The sequence below is a fragment of the Homo sapiens genome, chromosome 5, assembly GCF_000001405.40.
Source record: "Homo sapiens chromosome 5, GRCh38.p14 Primary Assembly".
Lineage (NCBI taxonomy): Eukaryota > Metazoa > Chordata > Mammalia > Primates > Hominidae > Homo > Homo sapiens.
In genome coordinates, this window is record NC_000005.10 from 2619035 (window position 1) to 2636625 (window position 17591).

The 17591-nt window shown below is 46.3% G+C and overlaps 1 annotated feature.

Moving 5' to 3' along the window:
* Nucleotides 16269-17088: an enhancer, noted in NCBI's record as "H3K4me1 hESC enhancer chr5:2635417-2636236 (GRCh37/hg19 assembly coordinates)". NCBI's record gives its function as "activates a minimal SCP1, AML or CMV promoter by ChIP-STARR-seq in naive H9 embryonic stem cells {active_cell/tissue: H9 hESC(naive)}" and the evidence as "EXISTENCE:reporter gene assay evidence [ECO:0000049][PMID:30033119]".

Below are 17591 nucleotides of genomic sequence, written 5' to 3' on the forward strand. Positions count from 1 at the left end.
GTCTCCTCATGGCCAGCCCACAGCAGTGGGAAAGGGAACCTGAATGAGCTTGGGATCAGTGTCCACACAGGATCCAGGAGTTCTCCAGGAAGCCGGAATGCGGGTGTAGCAGAGCCTTCAGGTTGCCCATCCACACTCCTAACCTGTCTCATGCAGGCACTGGAGAGGCAAAGGCCAAGTTCAAAGCTCCTCTGCAGAAAAGCAGACAAGCAGCAGGGCTGAGGGAACAAAAGCAGAAGTCTGCAGGGGACAGAAGGATGGAGATGTCCTGGCACAGGCACTCCCCTTCCGCTCCCCCTTTGTCAGCCTGGACCACGGAGGGGATGCTTGAAGAGGCTGCCCCTGCCAGGCTGTGCCCATGAGACAACAGTGAACAGCAAAGAGTGCCAAGCAGCCTGCAGGCCCATCCTGTCACGTGCAGGCTGGAGCAACAGTCCCTGGCGGGCTGGTCATGTCCAACAAGCAGCTCCCTGAAGCAGGAGGAGAGGACACGATTTCCAGCACTTGCCCATGTCCGTGGCATATATGCTCCCAGCCAACTTCCAGCTGCTAAGGCCTTAACAACTGGATCACAAAATGCCTGACAAGAAACAATCAGTTCTTTCCAGCCAGCAGGACACATTTCTAGCAGGCTGTTTTTTTTTTTTTTTTTCGTTTTCAATGCTATATGTCTAAACAGGTAAGAGTTGTCAATCAAGCCAACACTCTTGATAACAACAAAAAGTGGGCTGTTCTAGCTTCCTGCCTTAACAACACAACTTCACAGGTAATGGAAAGTTTGGGCTTAGAGTTAGAATCCTATGAGTAGATGAGACCCCCACCCTCTGCTTCTCCCCCACCCATGGGCGGTCTGTGCCACCCATAGGTGGACATCTCAGCTGGCAATTCTGAGTTGAGATGCATCTCATCCAACAGCCACCCTCGGCTATGCTTTGGGCCAGGGTGGCCAGCCCTCCAGTAGCCAGGGCTGGAGATGCACACATGGCCAGGAAGTAGGCGCTGGGTTTTCTGAGCAGGGACGTGTGGGTCCCCAGTCCCTGCAGCTTCTCAGGCTTGGGGAAACACACACAGAGGAGGCAGCAGAGTGGGCCCCCAAATGCCAAGGCCCCTCTTGCCAGGGTGAAGGTCAGCATTGGAGGTAGGCTTCCTGCAGTATCCCTGAGCCTTCACCCTGATCTGCCTGGGGAAACACACAGAGCCCTGTTGATTTAAGCCACTTTTAGGTAAGTGATGTAAACAGCGAGCTCCACATAGGATCTCACTGAACCCACTACAGAAACAACCTGGGCAGCCCCCAAAGGGCTGGGGCAGCCCACACCCTGGGCAGCCCCCAAAGGCAGAGTGAGACACAGAAGCAAAGACCCATCTGTGCTGTGTCTGCCCATGACTCGGTGAGAGGCCCTCAGTGGCTCAGAGCCCAGGCTCCCCATTCAGAAAAATAGCAACGATTCCCCCGCCTCAAAGCTCATTGCAAAGGTCACAGGTGAAGTAAACAGGTAACTCTGCACTCATTTGAGACAGAAGACAGTTAACAATCGACCCCGAAAAGCCTTTGATTTCATTAAAATTTACTTTAGATCAGTATAAGAAGAAAAAATGAGAAAATGATCACCACAGAAAGTCCTTATAGAAAAATGCAGGATTCTTTGAAAAAGCCAATTCTGCAAAACAACAGAAATGCAGAAAAATGATGCCAGTGTTGTGGAGACTTTAAGGATGATTTTGACTCCCCAGCTGGACAAAGCACCTGCCTCTTACATTTTTTGTATCGAGTATGGACTGAGGGGGGCAGGTGGCAAATGAAAATGTGGGACCTCTTTAGCTTGGAGGAAGTTATCCAGAGTTCACAGCAGAAAGTTGTCAAGCTGGAGACCTATCAAGTAAAACAGAGATCCAACTGTCCTTTGTTATTATAGGAGAAGCCAAAGGGGGACTTCGGAGGGAGGAAGAATCCAACACAATTGTTAAATGTTTTAAAAAGCCCGCAGTCCCCACCAGTGGAAAGTTTGGACCTGAGATACACTGGAGATGATAGTCTAGTTTTGCCGTGCTGGATATAGTGCTGCTGACATTTCTGTCTATGCAGTGAAAAAAGCACGTTCCTCAGGCTTGGCATTTTTGTGTGTGTTTGTGGCATTGCTGTGCAGCCTTTGTGGGGATGGTTTAACACATAGCACACTCAGGACTCCAGATACATGCTGATGATGTGGCTCAGCTTATTAGTTATTACAGTTGCTGTTTGAAATTGAACCCTGTTACTTTGGTTTGGACAGAATTCTGTTTTTTGCCTTTCTAGGCTTCGTGACTATGGGTTGGTTACATGAAGTTGCCATTTAATAATTACCTGCTTCACAGCACAGAATAATGACTTGCTTCACACATGCAAAATAAAAGCAGCTTATTCTTTGTCGTATCTTATGTTAAAGAATGCACAGAAACCCTCGTCACTTAAGATGATTCTAAAATATAAAATTTCTTTTCTTAATGAAGACTGAAAACTGCATGCAAATTACATTTCGCTTATAAGTCGATTACGTATCATGATAATACATTTCAACGCCTCCACAGTATGTAAAGTATTCACAACCACTTCTGTCCCCTGCACTGATTTGTCAATAAAGTAAACTAAAATGTCAGCTTAGCTGAAATAATGTTTTTGATGCTGAGCAAGAGAGAGCCGTTCTTGAGTTCTAATAAATCTCAGCACGACGTAGAGCAAAGCTCAGACTGGGTTGAGTCTCAGAGGTTGCTGAGGCACTGAAGGACTGCATGGCCCCAGGCAAGCTCCTCTGCCGCTTGGTTCTCTCCTCTGTGACACTGACCCTTCCTGGGATTCACGCTTGCCCACCAGGCACAGCGAGGGGCAGACACCCCGTCCAGGTTCAGCTACTGCTCATCCCACCGGCTCCCCATCATTGCCTCAAATGGAATTCAGCTGGAAAGCCCACATCAGTTTGGAAATTGTTTTTCTTTATGCCTACACAGGTTTTCACATCAACAGCAGGTGTGGATGGTACCTCAACAGCACCATGAGGTTACTGAAACTGGTCATAATTTGGTTAGCTAGAATTCAGAAAAAAATTAAAACTTGCAAATTTTCAAAACGGAAAGAAATTCCTATGTAAATGCTTATAATGCTTGCTGAATCATTTTCTCTGTTAGTTAGGAACTTGCATTCACAGGAAATAAATGGTTGAAGAAGTATGGATAATTTGCTTTGGGTATGAAATTCCCAAAGCATCATATGTATGTTTCTCTACAACTTGTCGTGGAATGAAACAGGTCTCCAGCCAATTACAAAGTCCCAGAAATTCCAAATGCATGGGCTTGTCTCCGATGGTTCCAGAGCTTGGTGGGATTTTCTGGAGTCTTTAGGGTTTGTGCACATGTGGGTGCAGCAACACAGACTTCACTGGACACCATGCTTAGGGTAGTCAGCAAGGATCTTCAAGGATCTGCGATGTTAACTTCTCAGAATTGTGGAAGAGCTGATACTGGGCATGTGTTACTCAGTGCTCATAAGGACATGTTGGAGTGGCAGGTCCCACATTGCCAGATGTTTGAGCAGAGATTTTTAGCACCCACCATTAGTTGGTGGAAGGTGACACTGTGGCCTCAATAAGGAAACAACAGGACGCATGCTGACCTGGGCTCTAGACTGAGCGCTGCCCCATTTGGCCTTGTAAGCGGGCCAGGACTCAGAATGGCTATTTTTCAATGGTTGCTTTGAGTCATTTTATTTACTCCACATTTATTAAGCACCTCCTCCACAGCAGGCATTGTTCTAAGCCTTGTGGGCTCATCAGAACAACATAGACAGAAATCCCTGCCCTGGTGCAGGGTCGAGCTCACTGGATCTGACACCCAGAGCATCAACAGTGGAAGATGTTTCACACTGACCACAGTCGATTCTCGGCCATGCAGCCTTTGACCGACAGTGTTTCTATCATTCTTTTCTGATTATAAAAGAGATGACCTCATTTTTTCCCAATTGTCAGTTTGAAGCATGATGGTGTGTAGTGTACACTCCTAAGTGGAATGACACAACCGACCTGCTGCTTTTGTTTATTCACACTTCCACCTCTGAGCTCTGGGAAGTGGACTTCAGAACCTGCTTGCATTACAGAATCATTGCAGTGTTAGTAAATATGTGCTTTATATATACATGTATTATGTTCCAAGACTGAGAGTGGATTTAGTATTTTATAAATAAAGACTGATTTATATATATATTTATATATGTAAGCTTATATAAATAATAGATATATTTAAATATAAAGATTGATTTTATATATAAAGGCTGATTTTGGATATCCTATTTTATATATAAAGATTGATTTTTATACGTATATTATTTATAGGTAAGTATATATAAATAAAAGCTTTATTTATATATAAACATCAATTTTATAAAGACTGATTTTGATATAGCATTTTTGTCTGATGTAAGAATTATTAGACCTTAATCAATTGCACCAGCTTTGCTACTAATCACCAGTCCTTTCTGTAACAGCTCCTCTACCTTTTTTTTTTTAAGTTACCACCACCGTTAAATTTGCTTCTACCTTGACTCAACCTCAAGAGCTTTCCTGCGGTGCACACATGCGTGGTGTGGGATCTGAAACCGAGCACCATCCCAGTGTGCGTGAGTGTGCGTGAGTGTGAGTGCAAGTGTATGTGTGACTGTGCATGTCTGCGTTTACCAGACATGGGAACGACTTTCTGAGGTATGAATAGAATCTTTGAGATAATCGTTTAAGCCCCCAAATAGGAAGCTTTGCTATTAAATGTTCTTCTTCATATTACAGATAAAAATTCTGTACCAAGATTATTTTTGTCCCTTTAGAAAAAAAAAAATCCAATATTTTGTTTTTCTTTCCTAAGAATGTGTAGCAGTTTCTTCTTATCCTCTTCATTGAAAAAGTTACCAGGAAATGACCACGTATTCGCCATTGCCCATAGACTGACTAGTAACTGCAATGTTCTTGCAATCTGCAAACTCTGGCCTCAAGCTCAGCGCGGTGTTTTTCTGTTGTGTCCTTCTTGGCTGTTTTTGCTTTGTCTGACCTCCTCTCCTCCTTCGGTGGACTCCTTGGGGATATATGAGCCACAGATAAATCCCTGGTCACAACCTGTGGGCAAGTGTCTTAACCCAGTCTGTCTGTTTAAGCTCAGGGCTGACCGGGAAAAGGAGACCCCTGAGAGTTTTTAATTTTTCTGTATTTACTTATTATTTTTATTTATACCTCAGTGTTTTCCATCAAATAATTTAAGGTAGCTAGTAAAAAAAAACTCTTTTTAAGTGTTAGCATTTGAATATTAGATTTCACCTTTACAAGTACAACTCACCATTTTTTTTGTACTTTCATGAATCTAACTTCAGAGAATATTATGTAAATCATTCCTAAAAGGCGAACATAATATGTATATGTTGTAGGCAAAAGCTGAAAAACAAAAGATTATAAAATAGAAGGCAGTTATGGGATTTTACACAAATTGTTTTCCTTTTTAGGTGCTGGAATAAATTTTAATTTCTTCAGAAATCAAAAGAAAAGATATTGAAAGGAGCCAGCCATGGGCAGGGAGGAGCGGGACTCCATGGGAACAGTGCTCCCGGCTGCAGCTCTTCCCAGACTCTGTGTCCAGCGGGTCCATATTCCTGTGGCTCCTTCTCCAGATTCTTTGCCCACCTGGATATGACCCAGCTCTCTCATACAAAGTATTCTGCTGTCAAAAGTATACCCTTTATTTGGAGAGAGGGCAAATTGCTCACCTATAATTGGCCTATTCTTTCCATTGCCATGCTCTTCTTTTTACTATAAAAACAATTGGCATGAACTCAGACAATTTGCTTTGAAGCAAATATTGCAGTAAAATTTCCCATTAATACTGAGTTGGGATGTACCAAGAATATCAGTGCAATGTATTGACATTTTAACACTTCCATATGTTTTTCTATATGCATTTTTATGATCAAAGGAATGCAAATTATGTATTAGTATTATATAGTCAAGCTCATTTTGAAAAGTTGTAAAGAAACATTTATCATCTTAGCAAAACAACAAAAACATTTTCCATAGCATGGGAAATGTCCATTTATCAACCAAGATTTATCAGCCACATAAATTAATAGCCTTCTTGGGCTGATACCTTAGTCTCTAGTGAAATGAGTTTTTAAAATTTAAAGCTGAAGAATACTTGCTGAACCTTCCCTGAATAAAATCATGGTTATCTCAAGCTGCTATTTGCTCATTCTTCATTTATTTCTTCCAAAATCTTTCTGCACGTGTGCCTGTTGCACCCTTCTGATGCAGTCTCCGCTTCAACCGCCTGCATCTGAGATTCTCTTTGGAGGACTCCACTTGGGCCACTGGGGCCACTCTGTTTAAATGATGAAAGCCCAAGTGCCTGCAGATGGACCCCCCTGTTCACTCCCTTCAGGGATGCCCAGCCCAGGGCTGCCTGAGGCAGAGGAGGGACCCAGATCCCTTGCCCGCGTTTGGAGAAGCTCAGAAGCAGGAATGCACTCCAGATCCCTCCTCATGGGACCAGGTTGAGGCTGGGACTCTGTCCGGACTCAGCTCTACCTGGTGTCCTCCCTTCCCTGTCCTGCTCCCTCCACACCTGGAAGTCTTTCCTTAATAATCAGCATATGCGTACACTGCCTGTCTCAGAGGACACTTCTGGGGAATGTGACCTAAAAATCATGCAAGATGGTAGACGTTAGAAATTCAAAGTACATATTTCTCATAATGTCAAAAATCATAATCTTGCATCTCACTGATATATTCTTAAGAATATAAGTGATAAAGTAAATTGAAAAAAAACTTTAGTGTTTTAAAACTTGCTCAACAATTTTATGTGTAATATTTACCTGTGGTTGGAGAAATGCATTTTCTAGGCAAGACAGGGAGCCACTGGGGAGGTGACCTAGTGGGGCACAGGGCTTAAGAGGCACCATAGTCTGCCTTTTGATGTACACCCTATTATGACCTGTGAGTCTTAGAGACAAAGGGAAATTATGGAGAGTAGGAAAAAATTGGCCCAGCCAACTGGAACATGCTCTTGCTATCATTGCTAAGGTAAAATGGAAAGATGTTAGCTAGGTTGATCCAGCGGTTCAGAATTTTTTTAAAAAGAAATTTTCCAAAATGGAAAAATTTCAACCTACTTAACTATGTGAGGTCAATGATCATAACTGCCTATTGCAGGCAAGCCCCATTGCTTCATTCTGGCTGCAAACCAGCACAATCCTGACCAGCACCTGGCACATCCCCATGGAATAAATTCATCAGGAATATGTTGTATGCCTTAAATAAATGCTATCTACAATCTAGTGCCAAAAGCAATTAAGAACTCCTGGGAAAATAACGGGCAAATGAAGCAACACAGTAGCTAGCCCTCAATCTGCATTGGCAATGCTAGGGAGAGGGATTGACGTTCTTGGTTGTTCTTCAACAGATACAATTATTGTTGTCAAAACCTGAGGGCTGAGCTTCTGCCCCCAACACCTGGGGAGCACATGTAGCAGGCCAGGGGCTGAGCCCGACGCTTTCTTCAAGTGTGATCAGACTTGGTTGGGAGAAGTCAGTTTTAGAGGGTAGGACAACTGTATTCCCTAGTCAGCTTCCTAAGTGGGTTGACACATAGCCAGGCATTATCAAACACCTACACAGAGGAGCAGTGAGCAGCAGATTTTCCTGTTCCTCCCACTTGTCAGGCACTGGAGTATCTGACACCATTTTATGTGGGTGGAATGCATGACAATTATGACTTCTTGGAAACACAGTTATTAATTAGTAAGCTACAATGTCTTATCAGATGCCCTCATTGTCTTCTGACATCACTTGACTTGTCATCAAACATTCCATACTTCTTGTCATAACAAGGTAAATTATTCCTCTAAAGACAGACATGAAGAAAGTCCAAAGTGAAGGCTGAGCAATTGTCCCTCTGGTTCACTCATGGCATGTACATGCTCTCCTTCCACTCGCTGGGGACCTCATCCACTGCTCCAGCCCCAGCTCCCCCAAATCAATTCCAGATGTGTATCCGTGGCCTTGCTCCCGCCCCGCCTGGGTGCCACACATGGACACTGGGACTGCCCTCAGAACTTCAAACTCCACACGCCCAAAACCAACCCACTGGCCTCCCTCAAAGCATGCCCTCACCTCTGAAAAAGGCCTTACTATCTACTCAGATCAGATCCCAAACCTGAGACCGGGAATCTCTATAGACTCCTGCCCTTCCCTCCCGTTGGCTGGGCCCACGCCATTTCCATGTGTGCCCAGGTGACCTGCAAAAGTAGACACAAGGCACCTCTTACCAGGGCCATCCAGGATGACCGAGATGTCTGGTCTTAGGTCTCTAGGTTCACACCAGATGTCTCCAGAGCCGGACATGATTTTCACAGCCAGGAGGGGAATGAGGCAGTTCTGATTTCTCCCTTGTGTGGACAGCCCCTCTGTGTGTGGTAAAGGATGCTTGTCTGCCTATGGCCCAACCCACTACCAGTGTGATCTGGTAGAACATTAACATGCAACCTCACAACAACTGATTTTGGCTTCCTGCCACATGTAGCATACACTGCTTGGGTGGGGAATTAAAAGATGAACAAACAGAGGGGTACCACCTCATGTCTGCCTTCAGGGGGCTTCTAACCGTCTGAAGAGCTTACAGATCCCTGTCATTTAGACCAGGCTTCTTGGTTTCCTTAAAGTTCCAGCATCTGAAGCTTTGGCAGAAGGCCTGACCATGAGCAATCAGGAACAGCAGAGCCGCGAGTAACCCCAGGTAAGGAAGCCACTCAGCGTGGAGGGGCAATGGAGAACTGCAAAATCCCAAGGAGGCAGAGCATCACGACTTCACTAGAGAGAAGGGGAGGCCACTCAGTAGGTCCCAGGGTTCCAGTTTGAGCAGCTGGATCAGCATTTAAGCCACCAAGAACAGCGGGAAAGCAAGAGGTTCAGGGGAAGGTGGTGGATCTGGCGGGGCTGTGGCTCGGGGGCACTGCAGGCGGTGAGAGACCCGCGTGTGGGCTCCAGCAGGAACGGGAGAGGGGATGACAGCCTGGGACGGGCATGGGGGTCCTCAAGGTGCAGAGGGCTGGGGAGGCAAGCCTGTCCGGGAGCCTGAGGAGAGGAGCAGGAGGTGAAGGCTCTCCCAGGTAATGCCAGCACGGGAAAACACTGTTTCTCTCCGGTTTTCGGGGTCCCAGGAAAATATTTGTCCTAAGTACCGCCCACCGAGAATCCAAGTATTCCCTTCTTTCTGGTTGGTATACACTGTACATGAAAATCAAATTTCCATAAGATGGAACCAGTCTAGAGATTCTCCACTTGGGGCTTCCAGGGGATCCAGAAATGCTCCAGTTCCAACACTGGGAACAGATCAGACCTCAGGTGCTGGGCTTCTCCCCAGCCAAGGGTCCTAATGGCACTGTAGGCCTTGCTGTGTTGGCTATGGGCTCACAGCACTGGCTTCCCAGGAGGACACAGCCCACAGACTCCTCCCCAGGTACTCGCTGGCTGGCGTGCCCTGCCCACTCAGCTCCTGCTCAGTGTCCTCCACCCCTACTGGCAGTGAGTTGCTCTGCTGGAAACACACAGCAAACCCAGCAGCCTGGTCCCATCCCTGGCACACCTTCTAGGGCTTCCTGAAGCTCTGGAGAGAAAGCCCTCCCTAATTATGGTCAGGAGGGCTTGCCTGCTCCTACCCCATCTTCCAGACGCCCCTTGCACTCCACGCCCTGCAGCTCACACTCCTGTCATCACCTCCTGCTACAGGGCCGTTGCACATGCTGCTTCCTCTCTCAGTGGCTCCTCCCTCCCCCTGCACAGGGAGCTCCATCATATGTCAACTCAAGCCCACTTTGTCAAAAAAGCTTCCCAACCTCCCAGACCTGCTGAGCTCCTTGCATCCCAGGGCTCCATGCTGGCTTGTGCCTCCTTTTCCTCACACTGTCCATAGCTGCAATTTCACGTGAGCTCGTGTGATGTCTAACTCATGCCTGTGTTGCCTCTCATCTATAAATTCCACGAGGGCAGAGACCGCATGCCTTCTAGCTCACCACGGGATCCTCAGTGCCTAGAACAGTGTGTGGCACACAGAAGGGTTGATGCAGGAACATGCTGGAAGGACTCTGAGACCCCAGGTCAGACCAGACCCATAGCAAGGGGATCTTGCAGACACAGGAATGCGAGGGCGGGGCTGTGTCTTGGGCTAAATGAGGTTTTTTGTTTCACTAGCAGTGCTTTCTTATAAACAAGCTATCCCCTGAGATCTTCACCTCACTGCTGTTTATCACGTAGAGAAAAGAATGGCCCCTCTTTCATCACAATGGTCTGACCGAGATTGTGACTACTGAGTAATGTGGAGTGATAACTTTGAGACCATTCTACTCCAGGACTTCCACTAATTATTCTGTTTGTTTTTGAGACAGAGTCTCTCTCTGCTGCCCAGGCTGGAGTGCAGTGGTGGGATCTTGGCTCATTGCAACCTCTGCCTCCTGAGTTCAAGCAATTCTCCTGTCTCAGCTTCTGGGGTAGCTGGGACGGCAAGTGCGCACCACCACACCAGGCTAATTTTTGTAATTTTAGTAAAGATGGGGTTTCACTATGTTGGGCAGGCTGGTCTCGAACTCCTGCCCTAACTGATCCACCCGCCTTGGACTCCCAAAGTGCTGGGATTACAGGTGTGAGCCACCGTGCCTGGCCCTTCCACCAATTATTTTAATGAGAGAATGGAAATGCTCTCATTATTTATGTTGATTATTTTAAATGAAATTGAATAACTGATAGAACAGCTTAAACACAGATGAAAATTTTAAACCATCTGAATAAAAAGGAGCAATAACAGTTAATCGCTCCCAGGTAATATGTAGTTTAACAAGGACAGATGTAAGATAACCTGTAAAAAGGAGAAAGGGCCAGGCGCGGTGGCTCATGCCTGTAATCTCAGCACTTTGGGAGGCCAAGAAGGGAGGATCATGAGGTCAGGAGATTAAGACCATCCTGGCTAACACGGTAAAACCCCATCTCTGTTAAAAATACAAAAAAAAAAGCTGGGCGTGGTGGTGGGTGCCTGTAGTCCCAGCTACTTGGGAGACTGAGGCAGGAGAATGGTGTGAACCTGGGAGGCGGAGTTTGCAGTGAGCCAAGATCATGCCACTGCACTCCAACCTGGGCAACAGAGCGAGACTCCGTCTCAAAAAAAAAAAACAGAATCAGGAAAAGGGAGAGAAAGCTAGAAAAAAAATAGAATATATCTAATCTACAACTAGATATGTGTCTTCAATATAGGATTCAAACCGGAGCGCATAAGGCCCTCAGCTTTCCTCTCCGTGAGTTCTTGACATTCAGAAGATATTCTCTATTTTATCACATTTTCCCCTCATTAAAAGTAGTCTGTGCCATTTGACAATTATTGAACAAGACCACTTAATAATTCAGTTTGGTTTGTTTATATCTATTAGCATGAGTTTTGAAAATGAATGTAATCACAATCTTACCTAATAGATACTTGTTATGTTTCAGAATGCTATGAACATCATCAATTTTTCTCACATGTGAAGAAATCTGCACATTAACTCAGGCAGTAACCAGAAGGCAGGCACCTGCCATTTTTGGGGAATATACTCAACGGCACAGACCCTGTTCTCCTTTATACATGTGACGTCTGCAACACCTCGAGAAAGCATTGGCACCCAGAAAACTCACTGACTGTTGGGGAACTAGCAGTGTTTGAGTGCTAAGTAGAAGAACTCAGGGACTCAAGAGGGACCCATCCCCTCACCTGGGACTGCAGGTGCACTGGTTCCCTGTGTGCCCCTTCTTTAGAATGAACTATGTCCTAAGCCCAAACGTACGAGTTTGATTATAGCTACTCATCCAGTATACTTTGAGTTTTGATCGTCACTTTTAGGAAGCTCTATCGTATTTTGTCATTTCATCCTTTACTCCTTAGAAACCGTCTAAATTTCAATTTGCTTCCATCACCCTTTTCGACTCGTAAAATACTATTGGTGACAACAGCGAAAGACACACACATTTCAGATCTCATTTCTTAATATTCACATGTTTTCAACGCACTTAATTCAATATATGATCTGGCTACATCCCATCTAGAGCTGGAGATTGTATTTGTCTGTGAGCCTAACTCTGTCTTCCTCTTCATGAAGTAGGGATTTCTGAATTGCACTGGGCTGTAGAGAAGAATGCAATAAAGAAGCGCTATTTCAAGTCTACACGACACAGTTGAAAGTTACAAATCCATCAAGATGGAAAGAATTGAGCTTATTAATGTCCTCAAATGCATTTATCTTAACATCTACATTACACTTTGCATGTTTAGAAAAATAATTCGGCTTGTAATTATCTTCTCATAAAATGTAATCATAAATGACACCATAACTCCGAAATAAACCAGAGAAAACCAGAATATTTTATGTGAAATTTAACATTCCACTGTGCTCTTTTTCACATTCCACAAGCTCAAATCATATGTCAGAGATTAACTCGGCCATTCTTTAATTTTGACTTTGTGCAGCAGATTTCACGTTATTTAAAAAGCTTTATATTAAAGTCATTCAAATGTGAATAATTGAAATTATTTTTAATGATTGTGCCATTAGAGACCAGACTTACACAGATCTCAAACTGACCTAGTTTTTTTCTTTCTTTCATCAGTTCGTTTTACCGGTGAGTGTAAACAGATTTTCTCTAATTAGATATGTACTTTTCAAGCAATATCAGAAAGTAGTTACCTTTAACATTTGTTCTTGACATCTGTCATCCCTGCGTTGTCTCAGAGCACAGGGACTTGCCTGTGATGTGTATACAAGGATCTTCTGCACACATCCCTGTCAGTTCTTCTGCCAGGAAGCCCTTGATGTCTTCTAACCTTTCATTGTGAGGAATGTACATTTAATTACCAGGAAAATGACTATGATGTAATAGGTCAAGACACGCGCAGCTTCTGCTAAGGAGGGGCTCTGCGTAGGAGCGGCAGTCGGGGGAGCGCTCCACAACCCGGCGCTCCAAGAGAGCCCAGGCGTCCGGAGCACAACACCAGCCTCCATTCCTTCCTGCTGGAGTGGGCAGTAGGTCCACCAGTAAAAATAAGTCAATTATAAAGGATATAAACATGCTTCAGACATTCAGAAATCTAGATACTCCTCAAATCACTAGTTTCGTTATAGGATCAACGACTTTTCTTTGGATTAGAATTTCCTCGTTAGAGGGATTTGGCATCTGTGATTTCTGATTTTGTGTGTGTGTTTGTAAAGTCCAGTAATTTATTCAGGTAACTGCAAAGTAACCTGAGTGTAGTGATGAAACAGGTTTTTAAAAAAATCTTGTAGAGTTGTATGACAGAATCTTTAAATGATATCCTCATAAAACACCTACAAAGCATGCAATTCAGGTCTCGTAGACAAAAATTTCTTCACACTTATATTATTATTTTGTATTGTTCTTATGTTGAGGCTTCAGTTACTCAGTATTTAATTAAACTGTATAATCTAGTAACAGGGACAATTGGCGTGAATGGGTCTAGGAAATTCACTGCTGACTCTTGGTGAATGTTGCAACTCAACCTCTGCAGCAGGGGTGAGGTCCCAGCGTGGCCCTGGGCTGACAGAGGTGCACGTGCAGAGGAGTGGAGAGAGCTGATGGAAAACATCGGGAAATGCCACAGTTAGGACTCAGCCTGGATTTGGAGGGTAAGCGGGTGCTTTCACTGAAGTTAATGTTGCAGAGCAGCAAAGCCAAGACCCTTCCATTCCTACCAGCGAAGCCCTCCCATGTGAGGATCAGAGAACAGACCCGAGTCTGTGGACACTTTCCTAGTAAGAATCCTGCTTCTCACAGGCCTGGGGTGAGCAGGTCACAGCCTTATCACAACATTGCCAGCAAAATGACAACGTGCGGGTCTGCAAACAGGCCCCTTGCTTGGACCCCGGCGCAGGTTCAGCCGACAGAACAAGGCTCTGGACAAGGTCCCCCCGTCTGGCCATCAGGGCTCTGCCCAGCACACTTTCCCCTTCAGTGGCTGCCCCACCAGCAGGACTAAAAATGGAGACACAGACAGCTAGCTTGGGAGCCTTTAAGCTATGCTGGACTTGGTGTATTTGATTTGTGCATCTCTAATCCTTTTTAGGCAGGAGGTAACGGAAATATTTGTACACTGTGAGGAACATCATAGCCCATGGTCTGAAAATAAGGAGGACACGTCTCATCGGAGCCACGACGTGACCTCAGCACTGACTTGTCGTCTCAGGAGAAGGAAGGGAAAGTGGAGTTCACATGTTGGGAATTGAGTGAACGCAGGCGGTCCTCACAGAAGCTGGAGAGACAATTTTCAGCTGTCTTAAAGAATTAAGAGCGGTGGTGTTTCCCTTCTGTTTCCTGCTCCTAAAAATTGGCTCCATTAGCAACCATCCATTTTGAGGGGGTGGAGCCACCATCGGCATTCAGGTGGTCGAGTCACCATCCGTGTTCAGTGGGTAGAGTCAACATCCGTGTTCTGGGGGTAGAGTCACCATCCATGTTCGGGGGGTAGAGCCACGATCCGTGTTCGGGGGGTAGAGCCACGATCCGTGTTCGGGGGGTAGAGTCACCATCTGTGTTCAGAGGGCAGAGGGGCCTCATGCCCAAACAGTTTGAGTGATTCACTCACAACACTAACATGGGTCAGAATTTTAAAACTAAACATCAAAGCACCGCAAATGTACATTGAGAATTCCCAAAGACTCCTTATAAAATACCCTTTGCAGGGGAGTGACAACATTTGCAGTTTGTAGTTTCTTTGGTGGCAAAGAAGGAATTGCACTTCCTCAGCTGTGGCGCCCCCTCCAACGGGAGTCTGCAGGCCGGATGCGAACCATGCCCGGGCTCCAGCCATAATCACAAACACTCGGCAAACAGGGTGTTTATGTGCTTGTTGAACAAGAATGTAAATCTTTTGGAAATCGGAGCTCACATAAGGTCTGGAAAGTTAGTCTTTTCCTCCTTCCCCGCGGTGCCCCTATCTGCTCGAGTCAGCTGTGTGCCAGCGAGAAGGAGACGCACTCGGAGAAGGCGTCCAAGCCTCTGTGAGCAGCGCCCACGCCTCTACTTGTGGAGCTGCAGAAGGCAGGCGGGAGGAGGCCGCTCTGACACCTGCTTCACCAGGTCTCTCAGAAAGCCTTGTGGAGGACTGAGTCCTGTGGAGCCTGTGACTCATTTGGAGCTTATTTGCTCAATCACTGCCACATCTTGCTGGGTTTTATTTTTTCCCCTCCACAAGTTGCACAAAATTCACCTTGAACATGAATCATGTGAAGTTTGTTTTTCTTCGAGGCCGCACCTGCTATTCCGTGCCATCAGGCTGGTGCTGCTTTGTCCCAAGCTTTCATTTCTTGGGTTAGGGGAAGCTGTCATATGGGACGAACTGAATACAGGAGTCCAGCCCAAAGACAGGGACTAATAATAAAAATGAAAGCAACTCCACGTGTATATTTACAAGCTTTCTTCCTGTGTTATCTCAGCTTTCACACTACCTGGGCAGAGTCAGTGCTATCCAGACACTCATTGCACGAAGAAGCTGAGTGGCATGTGGAGGAGGTAGTGTGTGGCTGCTGTCTAGGAAACAGAAGTGCTGAGTTGCAGTGTGTGCCCATTTCTATGGTGTAAATGTCCCTAGCCTGGCCAGTTTCAAGTTCCCAGGATGGCTTCACTGCATGGGAAGTTGGAAAGGGAGGGTATAGCTGGCTGCAGCCACCACTGGGAGAGATCCAGGAACTCACTAATAGAAGGGCTCTTCACTGAAAGACATGGAGTCAGGGGCCACGCCAGGCAGCTCTGCTCAGGGGGTGGAGCTCCTCACCGTTCTGACCTGCATGGCGCCCTCTTCCAGGATGAAGCGTAAACACGTGAAAGGCAGATGTGGGGAGCTGGGCTGTTGAAGCCCAGCACTCAGGCTGGGATGAGCTTCGGGTTGTGTTTTGCTCTGCAGATAGCCCCAGAGCTCACTGCTCAGGTTGCAGGAACCCAGCCCGTGGCAGAAGTCGGCAGCCACACCAGTGCTCTGCTTGCCTTCCAGGTGTTGTTCTATTTTTAGCTCCCAGATGTTAGAGCTTCTCCTCTCACCTCAGCCCACTCTCCGTTTATTGATTCCGATCCCTGGGTGGTCACTTTTGTCTCTTCTCAGTTAGGAAGGGGGGTAAGATCCAGAGCCACAGGTGAACTCGCCTGTATTGAAGTCTTTGGGCCAGGTCTGTAATGATCTGACTTCTCCCAGAACCCCCTCTTCTCTGGAAGTTCCAACTGTGCACTGAGCCCATTGTAGGGAGCATTTGAACCAAAACCCAGCGACACTGCTGACATTTGACTTTCAGCAAACCTTGATTGACGGTGACACACCATGCTTCGAGAAGGAATGAGCTGTCCCCCCACTGTGGATAATTGCTTTGTGCTAACAGTGGGATTGGCAGAGCTGCACATGTCAGACATGGGCCTGCCCAGGAACAAAAATGGCACCGGGAACCTGCCAGATCGCTCCCCGCTGCAGGGTCATTTCCCCAACCTTCTGAAGATGTGGGAACCTGCCAGACTGCTCCACGCTGCGGGGCCATTTCCCCAGCCTTCTGAAGAAAAGTCATCCGCTGCATCACACAAACTACTCTGGCCCTTGGCAGGAAGGGAGAGCAAGCCCGGGGTGGATCGTACAGGACCTGATTTATTTCCAGGGGACAGAGAGTCAGCAGCTGGTACTGCCGAGATGGTCAGAATCTATGTTGTCAAAGTTACTTTAAATTGTTTGTGTTCTCTGTTCCTCACATAAACAACTTCCAATGGAGAAATTAAAATGCAGCCACTTATTCCAACCAGGACAGACACCTTTACTGAGCCTGGACTTCTCGTTCTGGACACTGAGGTTGGCATGCTCTCTATTTCGTTCTGGAGGAACCCAATGGAATTGAGGCCAAAAAATGCCCACTGCATGGGGGCCACTAGTGCACCAAGAAGGCTGTTTCCTCCCCATGCCACTCCCCAGGCGAGTGAACGTAGAAGCACCTCACAGTGAGCCGACACTGTGAAGAGCCCTGAGCACCGAGGGCCCGGGAGAGCCTCGCGCTGTGGCCCAGGCAGGAAAATGGTGTGTGTTTCCCTGTGCAGGTCCCTGGGACCTGCAGCTGTGCGTTTTTTTTTATTATTCTTTTTCTTTCTTTCTTTCTTTCTTTTTTTTTTTTTTAGACAGAGTCTTGCTCTGTTGCCAGGCTGGAGTGCAGTGGCACGATTTGGCTCACTGCAATCTCCGCCTCCCAGGTTCAAGCAATCCTCTTGCCTCAGCCTCCCGAGTAGCTGGGATTACAGGCATGCACCACAATGCCCAGCTAATTTTTTGTATTTTTAGTAGAGATGGGGTTTCACTATGTTGGCCAGGATGGTATCCATCTCTTGGCCCTTGTGATCTGCCTTCCTTGGCCTCCCAAAGTGCTGGGATTACAGGCATGAGCCACGGCCCCCTTGTCGGAGCTGTGGACTTTTTAAGGACATGGGCAGCCAATTAGAAGCATGAGAAGTCCAGCTGGAAGGACGCAGGCAGCAGGC